The sequence below is a fragment of the Homo sapiens genome, chromosome 6 (assembly GCF_000001405.40).
Source record: "Homo sapiens chromosome 6, GRCh38.p14 Primary Assembly".
Lineage (NCBI taxonomy): Eukaryota > Metazoa > Chordata > Mammalia > Primates > Hominidae > Homo > Homo sapiens.
In genome coordinates this window covers 113,047,830-113,075,786 of record NC_000006.12, presented here as the reverse complement: position 1 = coordinate 113,075,786, position 27,957 = coordinate 113,047,830, and the positions used below count along the sequence as shown (strand labels likewise).

Genomic DNA, 27,957 nt, shown 5'->3' with positions numbered 1-27,957 from the left:
TTTGACAGTAATTTCCATTGTTAAAAGAGGGTCTGGTTAAAAAAAAAAGGAATTTTGAGTTGTTGAAGTAATAGGAGAAGAAAAGGTAAGTGAGATATATGAGGGAAATACATTTTGAGTTGTACCTGCTTGTTTCATCATCCTCATAACTAGTCAGTATCTTCCCCAACTTTATCTTAAGCTCTGTGAGAGAATGTGCAGGAGCAGGAAGCAGAGTGAAGCAGTCACACATCCCACAATTGGGAGTTAGAGTGTCTGGGTTGAAATTTTGGCTCTACTGTTTTCTAGCTGTATGATGGTGGGAAGGTTATTCTACTCTGGATCTGAATTTTAGCCAAGTAATACCTTTTTCTAGTGCTATGACCACTAAGCAAGTCTGGAGTAGGCAGATATTTAGAACTGTATCAATCACAAATTATTATCATTATGGAGATGTAGCCTATTTTGCTTATAATCACATTCATGGTGTTTAGCACAACACCTGTATATAGCAGGCACTGAAAATATTTATGTATTAAATGGATGAAAGACCATTTGAATGAATGGATGATCATTTTTCTATATATTTGTGAGTACATCTGTATCGGCATTATATGTATATGTATGTGTGTATACATATATAGAGATAAAATTATCTTTTCTTTATGCAATAAGACATTGAGGCAAACACATTAAAAATGTAGAGGTGGTAAAAGACACATTTTTAAAGCTATACAATCATTAATTTTGCAAGATGTCAGAAATTTCAAGGAAATTCTTAATGAAAAGCCATGGAGATGTTTCTATGTAATGAGGGACAAAAGGAAAGATAAGTGGCATTTATTCCTCTGCCCTGTTACTTTGGCTTTATGTCAACAGCTTAAAAGGTAATCAGCAAGTGGCTGATTTCACAGGAGCCTTAAAAATGAAAATGATTCTTGCACATTAAAACAAAGATACTGAAGATTAAACATACTGAAAGAAAAAAATAAAGAACAAAAATAATCATATTGTATTATAGATGATAATATCTCTTCACTTTCCTGAAATCAACAACCAAGATGGCCATAGGGTATTAGGATATTGCTTTGTGTACTGATGATTCTCTGCATTCGATACATATTTCTAGTGTTAAGGAAATTTAGCAGTGGCAGCCAACTGGGAACTTCTGCCAAATAAAATCATAAAATGCAGAAATTAAAAGAAAATTCAGGTCACCTGACTCCAAGTTCAGTGTTCTTTCTTTGCCTGTATTACAGTTGCTCAGTTTGAACTAGTTTGTTCTGTGGAGCTTGTTAGGCAAAGAGAAGAAAGCATTTACTAAATGTGGTGAGCTGCATTCAGTAATGTATACATTACCATTTAAATTCAAAAGAATCTTTTACTTTTTTCATATTTAAGACAAGGTAATTGCAAAACTGAAACTCAGTGCCTTCCCAAACCAACATTACTCATTGAATAGCGATTACAGATTTATTTAATAAGTATTCAGTAAACTCATTTTATGACTGAATAACTGGGAAAAATGATGTTTATTTTTCACTTAAAAATGTATTGAAGTCTAATTTACATACAATAAAATGTTCCAATTTAAAGCGTAAGTTCAATGAGCTTCAGCAAACAAATACAACCATGTAGCCATCATGCAGAACAAATACAGGATATTTGCTTTACCCCAGAAAGTTCCCTCCTGTCCCTTTCCATTTGTCTCTTTCCTTCATCCCAAAGTCAACTGCTATTCTCACATCTAGTATCATGTGTCCTTTTTGCTTGTTTTTTATGGAACAAGCAAAATGGAATTCATTCAATTCCATTTTATGGAATTCCAATCATGCAGTATGAACTCGTGTTTTTGGCCTTTTTCACTCAACCTAACATTTCTGAGATTTTTTCCAAGTTGCTGCATGTATTAGTAATTCATTACTTTTAATTGCTGAGCAACATTATATTGTTAATGTATTATACAGTTTGTTTTTTTGAAATTTTCCCATTGATGGACATTTGATTGTTTTGTTTTTATTGTTTATTATGAATAAAGTTTCTATGAGCATTCTTGAGTTAGTTTTTTTGTAGAAGTACATGTTTCATTTCTCTTAGAAGTGTAAGTGATGAGTCAATGGGTAGGCATGTTTTTAACTTTATAAGAAATTGCCAAAACTTTTCTCAGACTGGTGGTATAATTATACACTCATACAAACAATGTATGCAAATTTTGGTTGCTCCACTTCCAACTTATGTTGATATTGCCAATCTTCTTAATTTTAACCATTGTAGTGGATGTGAAATAATATTTCATTATGCTTTTAATTAGCATTTCTCTGATGACTAATGATGTTGAGCATCTTTACAAATGCTTATGTTCAAGACTTTTGGCTTTTATGTATATGTCTGTAACACATCTTCAATTAACTTTTATATATGATGTGAGTTAAAGGTAAAGGTTTTTGGTTTGTTGGATTGTTTTTATTTTTAAATGTAAGGATATCCAGTGGTTACAGGATCATTTGTTGAAAAGTCTCTTCTTACCCCATTGAATTCTATTGGCATATATGTCAAAAAGTAACTTGACATACATGTGTGGATCCATTTCTGGACACACAATTCTATTTCATTTATCTATTTGTCTATTTGTATGAAAATACTACATTGTCTTGATTACTGTGACTTTATAGTGAGTTTTGAAATCAGGTGCTATAGTCCTCTAACTTTGTAATACTTTTTCAAGATGGTTTTGACTATTTTAAGTCCTTTGTATTTTGTATAAATTTGTATTAAACCAACATCTTAATGTTGAGTCTTCCAATCCATGAACATGGCATATGTCTTCATTTATTTAGGTCTTCTTTAACGTCTCTCTATAATGTTGGAGATTTTCAGTTTAGATATCTTCTATACTTTTGTTAAATTGTACTTTTGTAGAATTTTTAAGTTTTTAATATAAACAATAATGTTATACAATAAAAAGATTTTTACTTCTTTTTTTCAAATACACATACTTTTTATTTTTTTCTTGACTTCATGTACTAGGTAGGACTTTCTTTACAATATTGAGTAAAAGTAGTAATAGTGGACATATTTACCTTTTCCTGATCTTTAACCATTAAATATATTAACTAAAGTCTTTTTTATTGGTGTTCTGTTTTGTTTATCTTTACTTTTATGAAAAAAATTCTCATTTTTTTTGGTGGGAAATGTTATTACATATTGCTGTTGACTTATGGCAAATAATTTTTTTACATTTATTGAATGGTCTACTTTATTCTTTTAACAGCAAATCACATTGATTGATTTTCAAACTTGAATTTGTTTCATTCTTGATAACTATCTGGAAAACATGCTTGATCATTTATTATGTATTATTCTTTTTCATATTGCTGGATTTTAATTTGATAATATTTGGTTGAGAATTTTTGCATCTCTGTTCAATAGTGCTATTGTATCATAATTTTATTTTCACATGTTATCTTTTTATTTGAAATCAGTGTCATTTTGCCTCATATAACATGTTGGGAAATTTTTCCTCCTCTGTTTTTCGTTAGTGTCATATTGAAACTATTTCCTTTTTTTTTTTTTTTTTTTTTTTTTTTTTTTTTTTTGAGATAGAGTCTTGCTCTGTTACCCAGCAGGCTGGAGTGCAATGGCATGATCTCAGCTCACTGCTGCCTCCGCCTCCCAGGTTCAAGTGATTCCCCTGCCTCAGTCTCCAGAGTAGCTGAAATTACAGGTGCCTATCACCACGCCCGGCTAATTTTTGTATTTTTAGTAGAGATGGGGTTTCACCATGTTGACCAGGCTGGGTTTGAACTCTTGACCTCAGGTGATCCACCCGCCTTGGCCTCCTAAAGTGCTGGCATTACGGGCGTGAGCCACCATGCCTGGCCTGAAATTATTTCTTTTTAAAAACCTTTAACAGAATTCACCAGTAAAACCGCTGATGCCTGGAATTTTTTTTTCTGGAAATAAAGGTTTTAATCATAAAGTTTCACATCAACAGGCAAACTTTTTGCATGAACAAGTAAAGTAGAAAAATCATCTGATCATATAAATATATACAGAAAAAGCACTTGACAAAATTTAATGTCCATTTATGATTTTTTAAAAAAATCTCTCAATAAACTAGGAATAGAGGGAAACATCTTTAATTTGATAAAAACATCTACAAAAACCTACAGCTAACTTCATCCTTAATAGTGAAAAACTGGATGTCTTCCTCTTAAAGTCAAAAACAAAGCAAAACGCCTTTCTTGCAGTCTCCAGTGTCTTCGGAGAGCAAGATTTTGTACTTTTAAGAAAAACTTATAGTTATGATTATCAACGGCAGGCATGTTAGCTTGATCTTAAATATTCTGTCATTAATGGAAGATAGAACCCTCTTGATTTTTTTAAATGGTATATTCAAATAACCTGAGATTCACAGAAAATTTCAAAAATAGTACCAGGAAGTGTCATATACCCTTTATCCAGTTTTCCCCAACGGTTACATTTTACACAATTATGGTACAATATCAAAACAACAATGTTGTCATTGATGTGTGTCTGTGTGTGTGCATGCGTGTGTGCGTGTATAGTTCTGTGTGATTTTTTTTTTTTTTGAGATGGAGTCTAGCTCTGTCACCCAGGCTGGAGTGCCATAGTATGATCTCAGCTCACTGCAACCTCCGCCTCCCGGGTTCAAGAAATTCTCCTACCTCAGCCTCCCGAGTAGCTGGGATTACAGGTACATGCCACCACACCTAGCTAATTTTTGTATTTTTAGTAGAGATGGGATTTCACTGTGTTGGCCAGGCTGATCTCAAACTCCTGACCTCATGATCCGCCCACCTTGGCCTCCCAAAGTGCTAGGATTACAAGTGTGAGTCACCGTGCCCAACCAGTTCTCTGTGATTTTATCACATGTGAAGATTCTTGTAACCACCTGCAATCAAATATGTCATCAATTATGTGTGCAGTCAACTATGCCATCACCATCAATTCCTACCTCTTGCTTCCACTTTATTTTCATAGCCATCCACTGTCCTCTAACCATCCACGACTCCTGGCAACCACCAATCTGGTTTCTACACTTATAATTTTGTAATTTGAAGAAGATAATATAAATGAAACAATATAGTATATGACCTTTTGACCTTTTAAGTTTTTTTTTTCTTCTCAGCATAATGCCTTTAAAATCAAATTGTGGTATATGTCAATAGCTCGTTACTTTTTACTGTTGAACAGTATTTCATGGTGTGGATGTGACATTTTATTTAAGCACTTACCCAATGAGAGGCATTTTGATTGTTCCCAGTTTTTGTTTTTCTTTTCAAAATGCAGTTGCTAGGAACATTCCCATACAGATTTTTGTTTGAATGTAAATTTTTGTTAATCTGGGAGACTTGCTCAACAGTATGATTACCGAGTCTCGTGATAGGTGTGTGTTTAGTTATTCAAAGAAACTGCTAAATTATTTTTCAAAGTGGCTCTCCCATTTTATAGTCCCATCAGCAGTGTATGACATGAGAAGTCCACTTTTCCACTGAATCTTTTCCAGAATTTTATATAATCAGTATTTTGCTATTTTAGTTGTTTAGTGTATATTTTGTGATATCTCATCACTGTCTTAGTTTGCATTTTCCTAGTGGCTAATGATATTGAGTATATTTTCATGTCTTTTTCTCATCCACAAATAAATGTCTCTTTGTGTTCTTTGTCTATTTTCTAATTGGATTGTTTGTTTATTTGGTTGAGTTTTGAGGGTTCTTTATAAATACTAAATATGATTCCTTTGTCATATGTATCTCTTGCAAATATTTTTTCTCAATCTTTTCATCTTCTTAACAGGGTCTTTTGCAGAACAAAAGTTTTGAATTTTAGTTAACTTTAATTTTACAGGTTGATATGGTTTGGCTGTGTCCCCACCCAAATCTCATCTTGAATTGTAATTCCCATAATCCCCACGTGTTGGGAGAGGTGCCCGGTGCAAGATAATTAAATCATGGGGGCGGTCACCTCCATGCGGCTGTTCTTGTGATAGTGAGAGTTCTCACAAGATCTGATGGTTTTATAACGGGATTTTCCACCTTTTGCTTGGCATTCTTGCTGCCACCATGTGAAGAAGGACGTGTTTGCTTCCCCTTCTGCCATGATTGTAAGTTTTCTGAGGCCTCCCCAGCCATGCTGAACAGTGAGTCAGTTAAACCGCTTTCCTTTATAAATTACCCAGTCTCGGGAATGTTTTTATTAGCTGCGTGAGAATGGACGAATACCCGTTTAGGTTTTTTTTTTTCTTTTCACTTTATGGATTATGTCTTTGGTCATGTCTAAAAACTCTTTACCAAGCTTTAATTCTTAAAGATTTACCCTCTGTTTTCATATAAGAGTTTTACAGTTTTACATTTGAATTTATCACTCATTTTGATTTAAAATCGTCTGATGTGTGAAGTTTAAATTAAGGTTCTTTTTTTTTTTTTGACCTGTGATATACAAAGCAAAGACTATTCTTCATTGATAGGGATTTTTGATAGAGATTTTCTTAAACCTATATCAATTTAAAAAGATTTGACATTTTCACAATGTTGAATATTTCAGTTCATGAACGTGACGTGTCGCTACATTTATTTAGATATTCTTTGATTTTTTTAAATCAATGTTTTATAGTTTTCAGTATATAATTCCTTTGTTTTGTTGATTTATACTTAAGTGTTTAGTACTCATTTAGCTTACTTATTGTTTCTTTAGAAATAAATAAACATCTCATTGTTAATAATTGAAAATAGTATTATGTTTTACATTTTGTTTTTTGCTTTTCATATATTCATGGCTGTTTACAGAAATAAAATTGATTTTTGTATGCTGATCTAGTATCCTGTGACCTTAGTGAAATTAGATATTCGTTCTAACAGTAGCTTCATAGATTCTTTGGGATATTCTACATAGACAATCATTACTTCTGCAAACAGGGATAGTTGATTTCTTCTGTTATGACCCTAATGCCTTTTATTTCCTTTTTATGCTTTCTTACATGGGCTGGAACTTTTGGTTCTATTTTGAGTAAGGGCAGATGTGTTTGCCTTGTCCAAGATCTTAGGAGAAAAGCACTCAGTGTTTTTCCATTACATATGATATTAGATGCAGGTTTTTTGTATTTGAAGAGTTTTTCTCTGAACTGTAATTTTCTGAATTATTCTCTCATGAATAGACGTTGAATTTTATCAAATGTTTTTTGTATCAATTGTTACAATTATGTGATTTTTCTTTTTCAGCCTGTTAATATGATAAATTATATTGGTTGTTTTTCAAATATTCAACCAGCCCTGTTTTCACCCAGTTATACACTACTCGGTCAGGGTGCATAATTCTTTTTATATATTGCCAAATTTTATTTGCTATTATTTGTTCAAAAATTTTTACAGCTATACTCAAGGAATATTAGTCTGTGATTTCCCAGTTTGCTTTTCTTTTTTTGTACTGTCTTTGTCTCATTTTGGTATTAGGGTAATACTAGCTGCATAAAATAAATTTTGAAGTGTCATCTTTTCTATTTCTTATAAGAGATTGTAAAAATTCATGTTAATTCTTACTTAAACATTTGGTAGAATTCTTTAGTGAAACAGTTCTAGAGATAACTCTTTTGGGACTTTAAAATTCTGAATTAAATTTTGAAAATATTTTTAGAGTTACTCATTTCTGGGCCACCAGACACTGTGGTTTTTAAAGAATGTCATAATTTCTGGGAGCTATACTTTTCTTCCAGAAAGGACATGATAAGAAGAAATTTCTGACTTTGCTATTACTTTTCTTTCCTCACTTCATATTTATAATTGTGTTTTTCTCCTACAGCAGCAGTTTCCAAGCTTTATTTTTTTAAATAAGATGGGGTCTTGGAAGACCAATGTAAAAAACAGATAAAAGAAGTGGTGAGGGTTACCAGGGCTCTGTCTGGTATTTGCTCCTGAGATCTCTCTTTGAAATGAACGAGGCTCCTCTTTAGGACACTCATCAGTGTCCCTGGTCTAGGGAAACAGAGCACCTGAGCGTGAGTTAGCAGAGGTACTCTAGAAACACCTCTGCCACAAACTTTCTGTGTGACTTCAATTCAGTCTCTTCATTTCTCTAAGTTTCATTATCCACTCTGTAGAAGAAAGCATTGAAACTGATCAGACATTCACACACACAATACACCAAACACACAAAAAAGTATATGCAATATTTCGTGCCTGTGAATATGTGTGTGTACTTTTCTGATACAATGTTCAGAATTTATATTAAGTTCCCAATAAGGTCTGTGACCTAAAAACGGTTAGGAAACAAGAAACTAGCAAATGCTCTCTATTCCATTCTAATTTAAAAAATTCGTGATTCTAAGTTATTATGTTATAAATGTGATAAAGCCGTAGACTACTATGGTTTGTATTTCCTAGAATTTTATTATTTTTCTTTCTTTTATTCACATTTTTATTTGATTCTGATAATAGTCCAATAACATGGCAGGGCAATTATTTTTGTATCTATTCTATTGGAGAGAAAGAGTATACATGGCTTGCTCAAGGTAGATGTATAGATATTGGTAGTGAAGCTTGCAAATGACCCCAAGCCTCTGGCTTTAGATCCACAATTCCTTTTTCTTACCTCATGCTGCTGCCCCCACATACACCAAATAAGAATAGTTTAAGAGTCACTCTGAGGGTAATTTTCTGCTAACATGACCTGTGGTCATTTAATTCACTTAGTGTAAGGTAAAGTCAACTTAAATTCTAAGAAGGTAGAAGACAGTTCATTAAATTTACTTCCAAGTTACAGCTGAAGCCACTCTACCATCTATAGAGGGTAGGTAAACCAGAACACAGGCAGAAATAATCTGAAATCTGTTTTAAAAAACATTTGGGTTATTATAAAGGGTATATCTTTTTTTAAGTTTTGCTTTTCTTTAAAATTTGCTATCATGTTTCAATTTCATATTATTAGGAAATACTGTACTTTTTTTTTTTTTTTTTTACCATTTTTATGCTACAAGTGAAAATCTTCCACTTCCTAAATTTCTAACCACTTGGCTTTCAAACTCTCAAAGAACACTACCTTTTAGAATAATGACAGGGAATTATTGTAAAGTATAAGTATTAATAGCAATCTTGAAATAAACTGAAAGTCCAAAAGAGGTGGTCGGGAAACTATATTTCATCACTTTGGCCTCACTGTTTCTGACAAGAGTTAAATCCACTCTTAAAAGTTTGTAAGAAGAAAAGCTACATAGTCTGAAAATCTACTGTTATATACCACATTCCTAAAAGTTGTTTATGGAAAGGATTTTTTCTCTCCCCTCAAAATTTTAACTTAAAACTCTGTCCTGCTGAGTGGACTTTAAAAGGAACTGAGAAATACAAATTCAGATTTATAAAAGAAACTATTCAAAAGAGGTGCTCTGTGAAGTGATTGTGTCAAAGGAGTAAAGTTACTGAATATACTGAAAGGTTTTTAATGGGCCCCTCTCTTTCTTCTTCCAAAAATGTCTACAATTCCTAATTAGAAGTTAACAGGGAAAATTAAATTACTGTTTTCACAATGTGAAAAAGTCCATTGAAAAAGTCAATTGCATATTAAGGGAAACCTATCTTGGCACTGCACATAAAATTTCTAAAATGATATAAATTTTGATATTCTGTGTATATTTCAGATAAAGCTATTGGTATTGTTCCTGTTTTAAAATAAATAAATTAGTCTGTTTATGTTTGTTTTTATGTTTTTCAGGAGTATTGTTAACTTCATTAACTAACTTTTAGAGATAAGCTTCAGGATAATGAGATTTGAATATACACAATTGTCCCATAAAAAGAAACTGTCATAGTTCACAGAAAGCCATTTCCTTTGAGCTTCATTGCTGATAAAGAAAATGCAGAGAGAGTTGCCTTTCAGCTAAAAAAAAAAAGGACCATGCTTCAGCTGACATCTGGTAAGTAGGGAAACTCGTCTGCCCTTTGAGCAGTGGAATCTGAACTTCAGTGCTTCAGTGAGTAGAGGTCACAGTGAGTCCAAATCTTTTAAAATTCTCTCAGCCTCATTCAGTATTCAGAAATCCATCACAGTGGAACTATTGTTGTTGGTCTTGCTCAAAAGCTTCAGTAAATATGCATGCCAATATTTGTGGGAAAAGTTAGTAATCTTCTTAGCGCAGGAGAAACAGGAAGACAGTTTTCTTAGAACTCATAGAAGGAAAACTACTCAAAGCTTTTATTTATTTATTTTTCTAGGTAAAAAACACATAACAAAATTTACAATCTTAACCATTTTTAAGGATGAGTTTGACAGTGTTAAGTATATTCGCATTGTTGTGAAACAAACCTCCAGGATTTTTCATGTTGCAAAATGAAACTCTATACCTATTAAACAACAACCTTCCTTTTCCCCCTTTCTCCAGCCTCTAGTGACCACCATTTATTTTGTATTTCTATGAATTTTCTTACTTTAAATATTTCATACAAGTGGAATCATACCGTATTTTTTTTTCTGTGACAGGCTTATTTCACTTAGCATAATGTCTTCAAGGTTCATTCATGTTGTAGTTTACGACAGTATTTCCTTCCTTTCTAAAGCTGAAAAAGATTTCATTGTATGAATATAACACATTTTGTTTATTCATCCATCCATCAATGGATATTTGGGCTGCTTTCACCTCTCAGCTATTGTGAATGGGACTGCTTCAAAGTTCTTATTTTATTCTACTTTTTAAATTTAATTTAATTGTTTGGCTTACACAAAAAAAAAATTGTGGGAGAATATATTTGGTTAATTAGCTAATAGTTTTGTTTTGCTGTAGAAGTAACCAAAATAGTAAATGTGCATACATTAATTTTAATTAGCTAGTCTCAATTTCTTTAAGAACAAAATCAAAGAGGGAAATGTAGTCCAGAAGAGGAGGCTATAAAAATTGGGACTGGGGGTAGAAATTGGGAAGTTGGGGCAGCAAGTGATAGGTGTTGCCTTACCTGTCTCAAAAGCCTAGTGACACACACAGGCATAGGAGATGAGTCCTTCAGGTCCTGAAAGTTAGGAAGTTATGAAAGGAGCCATCGCCTAAAGCGAGGGCCTTTAAAGTGCTGTACCATCAATGAAAGAGTGGGCAAAAACAAGTCCACACACCTGTAGAGAAAGAAAATAAGGGATATTATCTGACCAGGACTCTGCTCTGGTTAGGCAAGGAAAAATATTATCTGGGATTTGTCAAATTTTTCCCACTTCTCACATGAGTTTTGTGCTTGAATTTACATAAGTAGGCTGAGAAATTAACACAAAAATGTAGTTCTAACCACACTAAGTATTGGTGATAATATGAAAGGACTGGAATTCTCTTACACTGCTAGTGGGAATGTAGAATAGTACAACCACTTTAAAAACTAATTTGCAGTTTAGTGAAAACTTAAATGCCTGCCATATCATCTAGGCATTCCACTCCTAGGTATATATCCAAGAGCAATAAAACATAAAGGCACATTCACATGAAGGCTTGTACATAAATATTCACAGCAATTTTATATGTAAGAGCCTCAAACTGGAAAAAAATGCAAATATCCATCAACAGGTTAATGCATACGTAAATTGAAATACATCCATTCAATGGATCATTCATTCACTATCACACAGAAAATAAAGGAATAAACTATTGATACAGACCACAACATGGATGATTATAAAAATCTATTTGCTAAATGAAAGAAACTATACAAAAGTAATGCATATGATATGATGTCATGTGTATAAAATTCTAAAAAGTGTAAACTAAATCCAGAAATAGAAATCACACTGGTAATTGCCTGGGGCAGGGGTAAAAGGAGGGATGGGATGGAAAGTAGTACAATTAAACTTTAGGAATAATAAAAATGATCATCTTAATTGTCTTAAAGCATTCACAGGTGTTTAGAGATGTCAAAACTAGATACAATTGTATACTCTAAACAACTTAAATTTATTATACCATAATCAAATTAAGTAAATAAACAGACAAATAAATAAATGTTTGGGGAAATGTAAGCCTTAGGAACCTAATTTGCATCAATCATTTAAAGTAGGTTACATTCACAAAAGATTAAAAATAGGGCTACCATACGATGCATCAATCCCACTGCTGGGTATATATACAAAAGAAAGGAAATCATTATATCAAAGGGATAGCTACACTCCCATGTTTGTTGCAGCTTTGTTCACAATAGCCAAAATTTGGAAGCAACCTAAGTATCCACCAACAGATGAATGGATAAATAATATGTGGCACAAATACATAATGGAGTACTATTGAGATATAAAAAAAGAATGAGATTCAGCCGTTTGCAACAACACAGATGGAACTGGAGGTCATTATGTTAAGTAAAATAAGCCAGGTACAGAAAGACAAACATCACATGTTCTCACTTATTCATGGGATCTAAAAATGAAGACAGTTGAACTCATGGAGAAAGAGGGCAGAAGGATGGTTACCAGAGGGTGAGAAGAGTATTGGGTTGTGTTGGCAGGGAGATGGGGATGTTTAATGAGTACAAAAAAATATTAGAATAAATGAATAAGTCCTAGTATTTAATAGCATGACAGAGTGACTGTCATCAATAATAATTTAATTGTACATTTTCAAATAATTAACAGAATATAATTGGATTATTTGGAACACAAAGGATAAATGCTGGAGAGGATGGATACCCCATTTTCCATGTTGTGATTATTATGTATTGCATGCCTGTACCAAAATATCTCACATACCTCATAAATGTATACACCTAATATGTACCCCCAACAAACTAAAAAGAAAAATTATAAAAAACAAACAAAATATAAGTTACATTCATAAAACATATTGCTAATTTAAGAATTGCTACTAAAGCTGGATAAATAGTTGTCACATAAAACTTGAAAAGGTAATTTAAACTTCATGGCAAAAAGAAAATATAAAAAATAGACAAAGGAGAATAAAATATGTATTGAGAGGTGTTTTTCCTGCAAAAATCAATATTTATTTTTAAGTTATCTTAATTAAACCACTTACTAGATATTATAGAGCAAGACAAATAAAGCAATGTAACAATGTCCTAAAACACACCCATCCAGGTGGAACAGATGTATATCAGATTTATGTATAGACTATATATAGCTGGCCCTTCTTATTCGTGGGCTCTGCATCCATAAATTCAACCAAATGTGGGTAGAAATATTTGAAAAATACTGTGTCTGTAATGAATGTGTACAGTCTTTATTTTCTTCTTGTTATATCTAAATGATATTGTAGAACAACTATTTACATAGTATTTACATTGCATTAGGCATTGTAAGTAATCTAGAGATGATTTAAAGTATATAGAAGGATGTGCATAGGCTATATGCGAATACGCCATTTTATTTTATATCAGGGACTTGAGAGTCTGCATATTTTGTCATCTGTAGGAGGTTTTGGAACCAATCCTCCATGGATATCAAGGGACAACTGACCCAAATACATATATGCACATACATACACACACAACACACGTGTGCACACACAAACACACAGCCAATGTCTCCTGCCCCAGTAAAGATATAACAAGGGATTATTACTCAGAAAATATAATTAACATCTACAAATGAATAAGCAAACGGCAAAGAAGTGAATGAAAATAAAATAAACATGGGAGCAATTTACAAAAGAAGAAATCTACATGGCCAATAAATGTGAAAAGTTGCTTAATTTTGTAAGCAATCATAGAAATTCAATTTAAAACAAAAATTAGGTGCATGAGACTGATGAAATTTTTTGGAAATATCACAAAACTGCATGCTGGCAAAGAATTGTCATGTTTATGGTAGCAGAGTAAATTGATACAACCTCTATGGGAAGCAACTTAACAATATCTAGTAAAATTAAGATTTGTATGTCTTAAAATCCAGAAATTCTATTTCTAGGGATATATGCTATAGAAACTTTTAAATGTATGCCTGATAAAACACACTTTTTTCAGCATTATTTGTAATAGCAAATATCTGAAGCATCTTAAATACCCATCTCAGAACAAACAAATGAAATTGCAGCATATCTATTGTCACAAAAACAAACTAGAAAATTTATCTAGAAAATTTATCTATATTTTGAGCACAGAACTCAAAATATAGGTCCATTAAAAAAGCAATTTATAATCCTATATAAACATTATGATACCTATTACTGTGTATATTTATGCATGGTAGGTTTGTGGTAAAAATATAAGACAAACATATTATTGAAAATGATAAACACTAAATTCACTATGGTGGTTACATCTTGATATGGACTGAATATTTTTGTCCATCCAACATCAATATACTAAAACTTTAATCTCCAATGTGATGGGATTTAGAGATGGGGCCTCTGGAAGTTAATTAGGTCATGAGAATGGAGTCCTATGATGGAATTAGTATCCTTATAAGAAGAGACAAGAAAGAGTTTGTTTCATCTCTCTCTACACTTTGCCATGTGAAGATACAATAAGAAGATGTCTGTTTGCAAACCAAAAACAGGGCCTTCACCAAGAACCCCACTATACTGGAACCCTGATCTTACACTTCCAGACTCTAGAACTGTGAGAAGGAAATGTTTGTTGTTTAAGTCATCCAGTCTATGGTATTTGTTACAGCACCCCGAACTTACTAAGTCACATTTACAGAAGGAAGACTGGAGAACTGCATTGAAAAGAGATATACATACATAAGTTTTAGCTGAATCTGTATTGTTTAATTTCTTAGGAACAAATTTAAAATGTCTCAATCCTGTATTACCAAAGGTTTAGACTGATTAGATATAGATTCTTGAAAGTGTTCATAAAACAACATCAAAAGAATGAGTGTATATGACAATGTGACTTTAAAATACTGTTTTTCCATCACTCACTTCTGTTTCTGTATGTTTTGTTGCTTGACACTGTAAAAAGAAAAATATGACGTATAGGAAGCTTGGGTAGATATGTTTGGGGATACCCAGGCACACTCAGCATTTAATCTGTGCTGGTTTTCTTTTGCACATGCTGATTCATTGTTGGAAACGTTCATGCAGACTTAGGTAACATAGGCTGTGAATTTTACAGGTTATGGACTACATGAAAAGATTGTGACAGGTTTGAAGATTTTTGCTTGGTTTTCTAATTCATTGACAAATCATTCATGTGGTAAAGTTAAAGTGCATGTAAATTTACCTTAGCTATCCTTAGCTAATGTTTTGACCTCCTTGTGAAAATTTCATAAAAGTTCTCTTTACTTCATATTTTTCCCTCTAAATTAATAAGCTAGTAAATTACTAGCTTACTAACATTCATCTTTCTAACTTTAAGTATTTCACATTTCCATTTTAAAATTAATTCCCACTGTTATCCCAAGAGGAACCATTATAATTCTACTTTGTTGACACAGTCTCATTATGATAAAACTTTAGTGTGCCTAGCTTGAGACCTCAGCTTTTATTTGCTGACATTCATTCTCTGAAGACTATATAAAGCATTATATTTGGTTTATCAAATAAAAGCGTGATGAGTAACTTTTATTCAAATAAAAGTTAAAATATATAAATATAATCTTTCAAGTTAAAGATTGATGTACTAAGTATTTAAGCATGAACCAGCTCATTTGCAAGAAGTTCAGGAAATTTAGATACTTCGAGGATATGTGTTAAATTTTGGTCACAGCATGCATCTTCCTTCTCCAAACTATGTTCCACTGACACACCATATTTAATTGGTTTTTAAATAAATGCTCTCTTTGTAAGTCCCCAGCTGGCAAGAAATTAAGCAAAATCAATTATTTAACTTTCTAACTCAAATAACTTTTTGAGAAATTTAGAAAATGCTTCTTTGGCAAGAGTTGTTATAGTTTCCTCAAAAAATACAAAAAGTTCAAGAATATTTTAGATATTCAGAATTGGCTATTTTTTTTAGCTTGGTTAAAATAGAAAAGCTTGCATTTTATATTTCTTTAATGAGGTACATATTACATTAACTTAAGTGAGACAATTTCAAAGATAGACTTGCAAATACCATAATAGTCTGCTACAGATTAAAGCTAATACCTTCCAAATGGTTGGAAACTCTTATACACTCCAAACATTACTACCATCCCAAAAAGTAATCCTGGGCTTTACACAAAGAATAGACTTTAAAAAAAATTTTTAATGGCATTGCATGCTTAAACCTCATTAATTTTGATGTAAAAAATGCATCAAAATGGACCTTTCCTACCATTGGCTTAATATTTATTGTTTATTTTACCAGTATGGGTGAGATAAATAATTTCTGGAAAAAATTTGTTCATAAGATAATTCTTTTGGGATATTAATTAGGGTTTTAAATGAAGCAATGCATAATATGTGAATCTGAAATAACTATGCATTAAATTTTTCTCAGTGTATTCAATAATTCTGGTATTGAGCTCTTATCCATTATTTGATCAAGGAATTTGTTGTGTTACACTAGGCAGATGGACAGAATTTTTGTGTATGGTACAAAAGGACAATATTTTTAATTTTCACTGGTTTATCAGAAAATTAAATTATATATACAGTAATTTATTAAAAATAATTATTTCCAATATGTAGTTCTATCAATATTTTATTATATAATATATGCAGGTTGTAGACGATATCTATGAAGGTCTTTCATAAAATCTATGAGTCTTCCAGGTATGTTCATTAATATTTCTTCCATCAGTCTTGACTTTACAACTGAATTTAAAGCCTCATAAATCTTTTGGTGTCCTGAGAAAATAGAAGAATCTAATTAAATATATGATGTTTGCAATTGTTTCAAAACAGACAAATCTATTATTTTAGAAAAACTTATTTCTCCTAAAGTTATATAAATATGCCTAAGGGTCTTTTGATGATGGCCAAATAAACATCTTTATTCTTTTGCTTGTATCTAGAATATGAGAACATGTAAATATCCAAATTTAATAAAATTGTATTAAGTTCATTGACAAAAGCGCTGGGCCATTCCCCAGTTGTTTAACTAGTTCAGGTTCAGGAGTTAAAGGTTTAGGAATTTTAACTGGTTAAACGTTCAGGAGAGCACGGAAAGGTTAGGCTAAGGCATAACCTTATTTCTGTTTCCTCAGTGGATTAACAAGAAGCATTTAAATTGTGACCAAATCTGTTTATAGAAAATGTACTTATTATTTTAATTATAATTTAACTAGTGTTACACTAAGCCAATTAAGTGTGAGTGACAAACTGAAAATGTTATTTCTATGAAAACTAAGTTGAAAGCTTTAGACATATTAAAAATATTAAGATGAATTGGTACAGATATAAATGTTAAATTTAATTTAGCCAGACAATTATAAATATAGAAGAAAATAACATAAACATCTTAAATAAGTCTGCATCCAGAGGGCTTCACAAGTGTCTTTAATTGCTAGCTCATCCTTTTTAGATGATGACAAGTCTTTTGATAAGGTTTGTAGTTTTAGTTTAAATGTAACAAGAAGCCACTAGAGAATTTTAAGCAAGAATATAGTAAAATCTAATTTATACTTTAAAACGATCACTTTGTCTGCTGTATGGAAGAAGCAAGAGTAAAACAAGAATAGAGGATGCTGCAGAATCTCAAGGATTGACATGACAGCAATGAAGATGGTCATCTGTGACTTGATTTGTTATCTTCATGTTTATATGGCTTGCATAAATAGAGTAGAAGAAAGAATAATTTAAAACAAACTTCTAAACTTTGGGCTTAGCATCCCTAAGTTTAGGAAGACTAAGGGAGAGTTAGGTTTGGAGTATTAGGCAGACAGGAATGAAGTGATTAGTTTTGAACAACAATGTCAAAGTCAGAAGCCAATAGGATATTTAAGTGCAGCTGTCAAGTAGGCAGATGGACATAAAACTCAAGATCTCAGTAGAGTGGTCATAGCTGGAGATATGAATTAAAAAATCATTAGCATATAGAGGTACTTAAAGCCATAGGTCTGGATAAGTCCATCTAGGGAAAGGACAAGGCCAGGAAAGAAAAGACAGATGAGAACTGAGATAGAAGTCATGCTTTCATTAAGATATTGGGCCAGGAAGAAAGACTCAGAAAGAAAAATAAACAGCAGTAGCCAAGAGGCTAAAGGGAATTAAGCAACCACATGGTAATATAAAGTTAAAGAAAAGTTTTTTTGAGAGAGAGGGTGGACTTGATAATTTAAAAGGCAAGAAAAAAGTGAAGTTTTTTGTGACTTAATAATGTAGTAAGAGATCTAGTAAGTTGTGGGGACAAAGCCTCGTTGGAATTCCTTAAAAGTAAAGGCAGATAAATAAGTGGATCCCACAGATACATAGATAACTCATTAAGTGAATTTTGCTATGAACTGAAGAGAGAACTCTGACAACTGTAGAGGAATACAAAGTCACCACAAGTGTGGAAGAGATCCAATGTTAAGGCATGTTGCTATATCAATAAAAGCAATACAGGTTGAGGGAAATTTGAGGATGCAGAAGAGAAGTGAGATAACAGAAGTAAAGTTTGTGAACGAGTTACAGAGATAGGATGCAAGCACAGTTGCAGTGACTGGCCTTAGATGAGTGAATATACACTCTTATTTTCCTGTGAAAGGAAGAAATGTCAAGTAAATGAGTTCAGAAGCATCCATGAGTGCATTTACAGTGGTGAAATGAGTCCAATCCCATTTGACTACTTCCTGGTTCAGAGCACTGCCCCAGGGCAGACTGCCTAGGTTCAGTTCCTTAGCCTGGCCTCTGAGAGCTTTCTAATCTAGGGCAACTACTTGATCCTTCTGTGGCTTAATTTCCTCATGTGTTAAGTGTAGGGCTACCTTCTAAGGTTGTTGTAAGGACTTACTGAATTAATAGATCTAATATACTTAGATTAATGTCTTATAATTCTCTGTTTAAGATGAGCTAGCAACTGAGAATGAGGAGACAAACAGAAGAAGATTTTGGAAAGGTTTGTTTTTGTTAACATATCATTTATTCTGATTATCTCCCAGGCACAATTTTAAGGACTTTAAATACACGAATGTATTAAATACCTCCAACATCTTAGTTAGACCATTCTATAAAGAAGAAAACTGAGGAAGAGAAATTTTAAGTGACTTCCTTAAGATTACATAGCTGGTAAGCCACAGAGGTGGGGTTCACACTAAAGGAGTCATCACAGCCTACAATGGTTTTCTTAAAGGCAATTTTTTTTTACATTTGTATTGATAGAAATAATATATAATGTATAACCAAAAAAGATATACAAATAGAAAATAAGCACATAAAAAGATGTTCAATATCATTAGCCATTAGAGAAATATACACTAAAATTACAATGAGCTATCACTACACACCTATCAGAATGGGCAAAATGGATGAAAAGAATGATAACACTAAATGCTGGTGAGGTTGCAGAGAACCTGGACTATTCAGGCATTGCTGATGGGAATGTAATATAGTACAGCCACTCTAGAAAATAATTTGGCAGCTCCTTTAAGAATTAAAAAATAAACATACCATACAACCCCAAAATAGTACTTTTAGCCATTTATTCCAGATAAATGAAGACTTATTTCTGTGCAAGAATGTGCACATGAGTGTTCATAGCACCATTATTCATAATAGCCATAAGCTGGAAACCACCCAAATGTTTTTTTAATCGGTAAATGGTTAAAGAAACTATGGTATATCCACATCATGGAATATTATTCATCAGTAAAAAGGAGCAGACTGTTGATATACACAACAATTTGGATGAACATCAAGGAATTATGCTGAGTGAAAAAAGCCAGTCTCAAAAGAATACAAACTGCTTGCTTCCATTATGTTACATTTGTGAAAGAACATAATCAGAGATATGGAGAGCAGATTAGTGTTTGCCAGGAGCTAGGGATGAGGAAGATGGATGCATGACTATGAAGAGAATCTTATGGTGATATAACAGTTGAGTATCTTGATTGCAATGGTAGTTACACAAGGCTACATATGTGATAAAATTGCATAAAACTATGTACATGAAATAGTGTATGTGTAACCTAAAAATCTGAATAAGCTGTATGTATTGTATAAATCTCAGTATATTGGTTTTGCTATTTTAACATGTGTGTATAAGATGTTATATTTAAGGGGAAGCTGTGGGAGGAATGCATAGGAATTCCCAGTACATTTTTGCAATCTCCTGTGAATCTATACATCTTTCAAAATTTAAAAAAAATTAAAATACATATAGAAAATACAAAAATGCACCAATTAATGTATAGTTCAATGAATTTCCACACATTCACAGTTCCACACTGCTACCATCTAGATTAAAAAAACAGAATAATTCCAGCACCCCACAGGGTTTCAATGTGCTCCTTCCCAGTCAATAATCATTCACTCAGAAGTCTATCACCATACTGGCTTCTATTACCATTCGTAAGTTATTCCTGATTTTGGAACTGTACACAAATGAAATCATATGTTATGCTCCCTTTGCATCTGGCTTTGATCCATGTTGGTGCATGCATCGGCCGTTGTTTTTTTTTTTTTTTATTGCTCTGTGGAATGCTATTGTGTAAATATACCACATATTTTTTGCTTTGCTATTGATGGACATTTGGATTACTTTCCAGTTTATGACCATTATGAGTAAAACATCTATGATTGTTCTTGCACATGTATTTTGTTATACACACACACACACACACATATGTATGTATATATTTTTGGGAATGTGCCTAGAAGCCGAATTGCTTTAGTAGATTCAGCCAAGCAATTCTGAGCTCATTATACTTCCACTTGCAAAGTATAAGAGATCCAATTGCTCTATCTCTTAGCTAACTTATAGAACCTGCAATTTTAACCTCTATGCCATATGCAGGAGTTAACAAAAAAAGATGTGAAATAAGTATAGAGGAAAGTGGCAAAATGACTTTGCTTGGAAAGTACATAGAACTATTGACAACAGTAAATATCCACTTGAAATTTCTTGATCCTAATTTTAAGAGAAAATGAGTGGTCCTGGTTGTGTAATTCTCCCCCATCAAATTCATCTGCTTAAATGCTAGTACTGGTTGTTAGATTTAATCAGTGTGCTTTACGAAAAGCAATTAGAACATATTAGAGTCTTTTGAAGCCCTAAACAACTTATACCTAGAAGTTTTTAGATGGTATCAACAAGGAGAAATGATGCATGCTTCAACAAATGATGATCACTATACTTGGGGTACTATATGTTTCTTCTTGTTTCTTTTTTAAGAACTTCAGTATCTCTTTTGCATATTTTTAAATTTTTATGTATCTTTTTAGAGACTTTGCAAACTTATTGTGTCTCTCAAAACCTACTTTAGCCCATCCTGGCAAATAAAATTGTACTAATATATTATTGGTTATCCATTCATATATCTCGTTTTGCTTGCTCTTTTTTATCACCAAAGGCCATTGTTTGATATTCCCTATAGAACTTTGTATAGTTTAAAGTTTACATGTTCTATAGTACATCCATTATCTTCTCTTTCAGAGCTTTTAGACACATAAAAGGAGTAAGTGTTATTATCATGAATTTCTGATTCTAGCTCTCCACACGTTTGTTCAATTTATTCTACATTCCTGAGATTTGGAAGGTTTCCTTGAGACTTCCTTATGGAGATGCCTTTGGCTTGTCATAGTGTAACTGCTAAGAAGACTTACTCAAGGAATGTCTTTTAGGAAAACAGGATAGTCTTTTTTTTTTTTTTTTTTTTTTTTTTTTTTTTTTTTTTTTTTTTTTGGTGAGCGGTGGAATGGAGTCTCGCTCTGTCGCTAGGCTGGAGTGCAGTGGCATGATCTGGGCTCACTGCAACCTCCGCCTCCCGAGTTCAAGCGATTCTCCTGCCTTGGTCTCCCGAGTAGCTGGGATTACAGGCTACAGGCGCACACCACCATGCCCAGCTAATTTTTGTATTTTTAGTAGAGCTTGGGATTCACCATGTTGGCCAGGATGGTCTCGATCTCTTGACCTCGTGATCCACCCGCCTCGGCTTCCCAAAGTGCTGGGATTACAGGTGTGAGCCACCGCACCCGGCCGAAAACAGGATACTCTTAATAATTTTTTAACAAAATAGCTATTGATAAAGGTATTACATAGTAGTTCTGAGTTTCATAGGAAGTCAGCTCATTTTTTTCAATTATTATCATCATCTTGGATTTCAGTATCTTTTCATAAATGAACTTGTTTGAAGGTTATCTCTGCATGCATGCAGGTGTTTATAGCTGTTAACTGCAAAAAGTTTCATGATTTTGTTGACTGGATTGTTTAAAAATATTATTTTAATCTCACCATGTAAAATTCCTGACCAAGAACTTTGGCTAGGATGACTTTAATTTATTCTCTTATGCTCTTCCTCAATCATATTGATTTAAGTAATTAAAAAAATTTCATTGTATGCTAAATTTTTCCTAAAATATTATAAAAATTAAAATGTTATTTTAAAATAGTCTACCACATACCTTTTTATATACCATGATAACTTAAAACATAGAAATACTTCCTAATGTTAGAATAGGTCCATCCATTGTATTGGGTGATATTATAATTTTTAGAGGATTTAGTGATTACCTCTGATGAACACCCTGTGATTTAGCTTGGATATGCCATATGATTTTGAAGGTAGTTGAAATGCTCTAATAGGCAAAAAATATCAGCTCAATAGTAAGTTAGCTTTTTAACATAATTTATAAAAAACAAAAGTTCATCCCTCAAGGCTGCTGCTGTCTCCTGCCATAAAAATTGTTCATACTACAATATCATTTAATATTTTTATTGAGAACATTTATGATAGTGACTTTTTAAAACAAATAAATATTATAGTAGAGTTCAAGTTTCCAGATGTAAGAAGGAACAAGTTTTTACTTCCTCCTAACTTCAAAATCACAGAACTTATCTTATTACTTTTTATTACTTTGGAACAACTTGTTTTGAGGCAGAGGAATTATTATTATCTAATGCTGTAACTCCTATTCCATAAAACTGCCAATTTGATAATTGTCAGAATTTATTTTGGGGAGAGAAGATCTTAAATGGCAGGACTGAGACTGAATCTATTCTCAACATTTGCATATTTTACAATGCAATTGGTTACAAAAAAATGGAAACTTACTCTGATTTGCTTAATGTAGGGTCACAGAGTCAATGGGCAGCTGAGAACCAGACCTGGCATCGAGATAGATTCTTACAGCCAAAAAGCCAGAAGCACAACGTGTATTTTTTTAGCAGAAACAGACCAGGTCTTCTGAGGCTTTAGGACATAGACTCCTCTGCAGCCTTGAAAGAATTCTTGCTGTTTTTCATTCTTTGTAACATTCACTTCAGAGACAAAGATCTGATTTGGGGCATCCGATGAGCTGATGCTAAGTCACGTGCATATACACTGCCTACCGGGACAGAGCAAGAGAAATTCTCACTCTTCTGGTGTTGGTAGTGGGAGGCAGATCATTGCCTTTCAACAAGACAACACGCAGTAGGAAGCTCCTCCCAAACAGGAAAGAAGGTTGAAATCCTATCCACTAAAAGAAGATACCCAAACTTACAAATGACCATTTCTCCATTAAAAAAAAAAAAAAAAAATATATATATATATATATATACACACACACACACACACACACACATATTTATGTATAAATTAAGTGTGTGTGTATATATATGTACATGTTAAAGGAAATTAAAATGGAGACTAAGCCTGAAGAAGCCCTTAGTAGGCCAAGCCAATTAGGTCTCCTAAGTGGCCTAAACCTTGCTTGATTTGCAAACGTAAGCAAAACTTAACTTGATCTATTTCTAGTAAACACCTATATTAAGGAAAGACAGAACTTAAGTTCAACCAGTCAGAATCCACCAGCAAACTTATGTAAGTATATATAACTAGAGGCTTTTCAATGGGATAGACCAAATAAGGCAACTGTATAACTATAACCAATCAAATATTTTCTTTGCTTTATTTCTATGTTTCCTCTGGAAAAACCTACCCCTTGAATTCACCAGTCAAGCTTCAGAACCACTTCTGGTTTGGAGCTACCCAATTCACACATCGTTGTTTGGTTAAAATAAACTCTTTAAAAATTTCATTGTGCTTCAGTTTACCTTTTTAACACATAGAAATATAGATGTATACTTTATATACACATTTCAGAAGACAAAATTTCTTGGGAAAAAAAAGCCTGTTTTTCTGATTTTTAATGTTATGATTCTGATGTACCATAATCAATATGCTATGATTCTTTTTCTCGACTGTTCCAAGCCATAATATTCTGGAGAAAAACTTTCTGACTGCTGGTTTCCTTGAATTCTATAGAACGAATCAGTGTGTTCACTATGTGCAATATATATATACACACACACACACACACACACATATATATGTATTTTAAAAATAAAATCATCTGATACCCAGGAAAAAAGCACAATTGTTCCATTATTTCTCTTCTCAAACTGAAAGAGTGAGGAGAAACTAGAGTTGTTTATTTTAACATGGAAAGGGTAGACCGATGCTGTCACAGGTGCTATGGGATCTGTACCATATATGTGACCCTGATGTCCCGAGAAAGCTCCACCACATGCTTCCATCAACCCTCTCTTTGTCAGGGGTCTGCTCACTCTGGAAAGACACTCTGCGGACAGAGCTAACCTTTCCCAGCTGTGCCTTGATCTCTGACTCCTTTCATTCAGCACCTCGCCAGGAAGAGGCTCCAGGGTTTACAGCAGCTCCGGCCACAGGGGGCCTGGCTAATTAGATTTCTGCTCTCTGTTGATTTTCAAATGATACAGTTTAAAGTTCTGGTACAAAGTGACTGTTTCTCATACTAGTGCTGCATCTCAGAAGGAGAACCAGAATCTCTACTCTACTATAAAAGTTATAAAATGTGAGTTAATTAGTAATTAGAGATGAGACAAAGTAGGAGACACTATGTAATTTAAGATAGTAACCAGTTGATAGAAAGAAACATAGACTTATGTACCCTAGAACTTAAAGTATAATAAAAAATATATATATATGAGACGGAAAGTTGCCTCAAATCCTTCACAGATGTAGTCAGGGCGACTTCAAAACAAAAGTAGAAAATGCATACATCCAATGTGATATAGGCATATTTTAGCTGTAATCGAAGCCTGCCTTTCCTTTCCCTTTGGAAGCCCTGAGTCTTTGTAGGATTGGGTTAGGAGACAGGACACCTGCTTTTCATTTGAGAATTGACAGGTCATCAAACATTAGTGGTTTTTGCTTAGTTCTTCACATTCTTTTCTCTATTCCAATTTTATTTCCCTTCTGTGCTCTTCACTGTAAATTAATTCTTCAGCCAAACGTCCAAACTAGTTTTTACTTTAAGAACCATCTTTTTTCTTACCTTTCTGTCTTCATGTTTTTCTCTGTTGTTATTCTATTGTCCTTTCGTATCCCTCAGTTTTGGTGAGTCACTCACTGCCCCCCCAATTTCCTGCTGAGCAACCCCAACAAATGCAGTCCGTTTGCAGCACCTGCTCTTAACTACAAAGAAGAAAAATACAATTCAGAACAAACCTCATTATTTGTAAGCAGAGATGTAAGAGGAAAAGTATTCTATTGTTTTTATATTCTCGGGTACTCTGTATCTGACACAGAAGCAGCTTTTATATCCCTTAAACAAAGGGAGACTAACAGGAAATAGTTCTAACCAGGTATAGAATGACCAACTTCTGCCCACTGTGGTAGTTACACAGAGAGTACTCACATTGCTGAAAAATTATTTTCCCAGAGTTTTTTGATAATGAAATACATTTCATCCTTTCTATTGCAACCTCCACCATTAAATTCCAAAAACTTCATGAAAATGATTAGGCAGAGGGTAGGTAGATCCACTTTCTCTTGACATATCAAAGAAAAGTTCATTTTTTTTCTGTTTAATTTTTTTCCTTCTTTTCCTCTGCCTTCACATCACTGGATCTCAGAGAGGTTAAGTTACCTCAAGTACTTTTGGAAAAATGACAAATAGATAAACACATGGAAACGTGACAAATAAACACATGGAAAAGTGACAAATAAACAAACACATGGAAATAAAGTTAGCCATAGTGGTGGCAGGATGTTCTGATTAAAGAAATAGAAATTTGATTCTAGGACTCTTTACTCCTTCAATTTGAGCTTTCTTCCAACAATAATGAAATGACCTCCTTCTCTTTTTTAAATTAATGTTTTTAGCTCAATTATCTGTGACAAGGATCACTTCGCAGCTTGGGTGAATTGTGCCAGGATTGTTGGGCGAGGGGAATGGGCTTCCATGCCTGGCCAGCAGTGTTTTTGCAGCCTCTGGCACATCGGAGTACTCCCCAGGGCTGAGGGATGGACACTGTAACCATTCTGCAGGCTGTGGTATGAGGTGGGATACTCTTTACTAAAGATTCTTGGGGAAAAAAAAAATCAGTGGCAAGGCTCCTAAGAGGGACTTTCCCAGCTTTTCTTGGGATAAGCCTCTTGGTAGCCACTAAGTAGAGATGGGAGCATCTAACTTCCAGGGAACATTCCCTACTGGTTTGAGGCCTGCAGCCAAGTAAAGGGAAGATCAGAACAATCTGGTTCAGGCTCATTATTGAGAGGAGTTTCCAGAAATCTGTAGAGACACAAGGTACACTGTATTGGCATCAGCTACGTAATTATTTGTGCATAATTCATTCCACAGTTATTTATTGCATATTACCAAGGTAGTAGCTTTTAAGGTTTCCTTTCATCATGACCACAGAAAAGTGATAAGGTATATATTTTACATGGCAACATAATCACAGTTATGACTGAAACAAATTTTTACAAAACAATAACCTTATCTCTCATACTCATATTTTGCATTCTCTTCTATGTTATTAAAAATAAATAATGGTCAAACACAAACTTTTTCCATGACCCACTCACTAACGGGTTGTGTGATCTAGGTTGAAAAACACCCGGCTAAAAGGCAGACAGTGTATTAGATGCTGGGCTTATAAATATGAATTACAGATGATTCTAATTCTTAAGAAACTCAGAGTCAAACAGAGGGAAATGACTAATGCCACACAACTGGAAAACCGAATTCTATTTATTATGATAGAAAATAATCAAGTGCTATTGGAGAAAATTGTTTGGGTACTTACCTTGGGAGGGGCAGTAGGACAGTAGATGGAAAAAGGCTTTCTGAAGGAAGAGCCACCTGAACTGAGCGTTGAATAGTCAGTCAAGTGAATCATGAGGAGGAGGGTCATGGAGTTTCATAATCAAACAGCATGTGCAAAAGCACAAAGGGTGAGCAGCTTGATGTGCAAGGAGAGGTATGAGAGGAGGACATTTGGAGAAATGAAGCTGGTCCCAATGTCATCACAAGGGTCCTTAAAGGTAGAAGCTGGAAGCAGAGGTGGCCAGAGAGATGCAGGGTGAGGACACGATCTATTATTTCTGACTCTGAAATGGAGGAAGGGGGCCATGAGCAAATGTGAGTGGCTTCCAGAAAACCAAAAACATGAGGAAACAGCTTACGGAAGGATTGCAGCCCTGCTGACACCTTGATTTTAGCCCACTAAGACCTGTGGCAGATTTCTGCCCTACAAAGCTACGATATAAATTTGTGTTGTTTTAAGACACTAAGTTTGCAGTAATTTGCTGTGGAAACCATACAAAACTGTTAGAGTTGGCAAAGTTATTTTGTTGGGGTAGATTGCAGGAAAGGTGACAAGGCAAGTCTAATTCATCATGGCCTGCTCTCAGAGCCCTCTCTCAGGATGTTCTAGCTGCATTCCTTAATTAGCCTAACTCTTTCCTTATGTTCTACAGGCACTGACTCACTCAAATCAAATTTATTAAACAAATTTTACAGGTTTTATAACTTACTTCTGCATTAAAATTGCTTCTTTTCCCGTACTAATTTGTATACCTTTAAAAGTAGGCATTAAGATACCTCTCTCAATGTCAAGGTTTATCTATTCAAACTTATCATCATCATATTACAGTTGTGCATCAAATTATAGAAGAAATACTTTTGAAGATCACAAACTACATTGAAACATTCAGTTAAAAATAATGTCTACA

At 33.5% G+C, this 27,957-nt stretch overlaps 1 long non-coding RNA gene across 1 annotated transcript; it reads right to left on the bottom strand.

Annotated features, from left to right (window-relative positions):
* Window positions 1–10,740: 10,740 nt before the first annotated feature.
* Window positions 10,741–27,115, bottom strand: LOC107986636 (uncharacterized). Its single transcript, XR_001744308.2, has 3 exons — window positions 27,030–27,115; window positions 25,274–25,413; window positions 10,741–11,091 (listed from the first exon to the last, which is right to left on the bottom strand). It is a non-coding gene; the product is annotated as an uncharacterized LOC107986636 (long non-coding RNA).
* Between the last annotated feature and the right edge of the window lie 842 nt (window positions 27,116–27,957).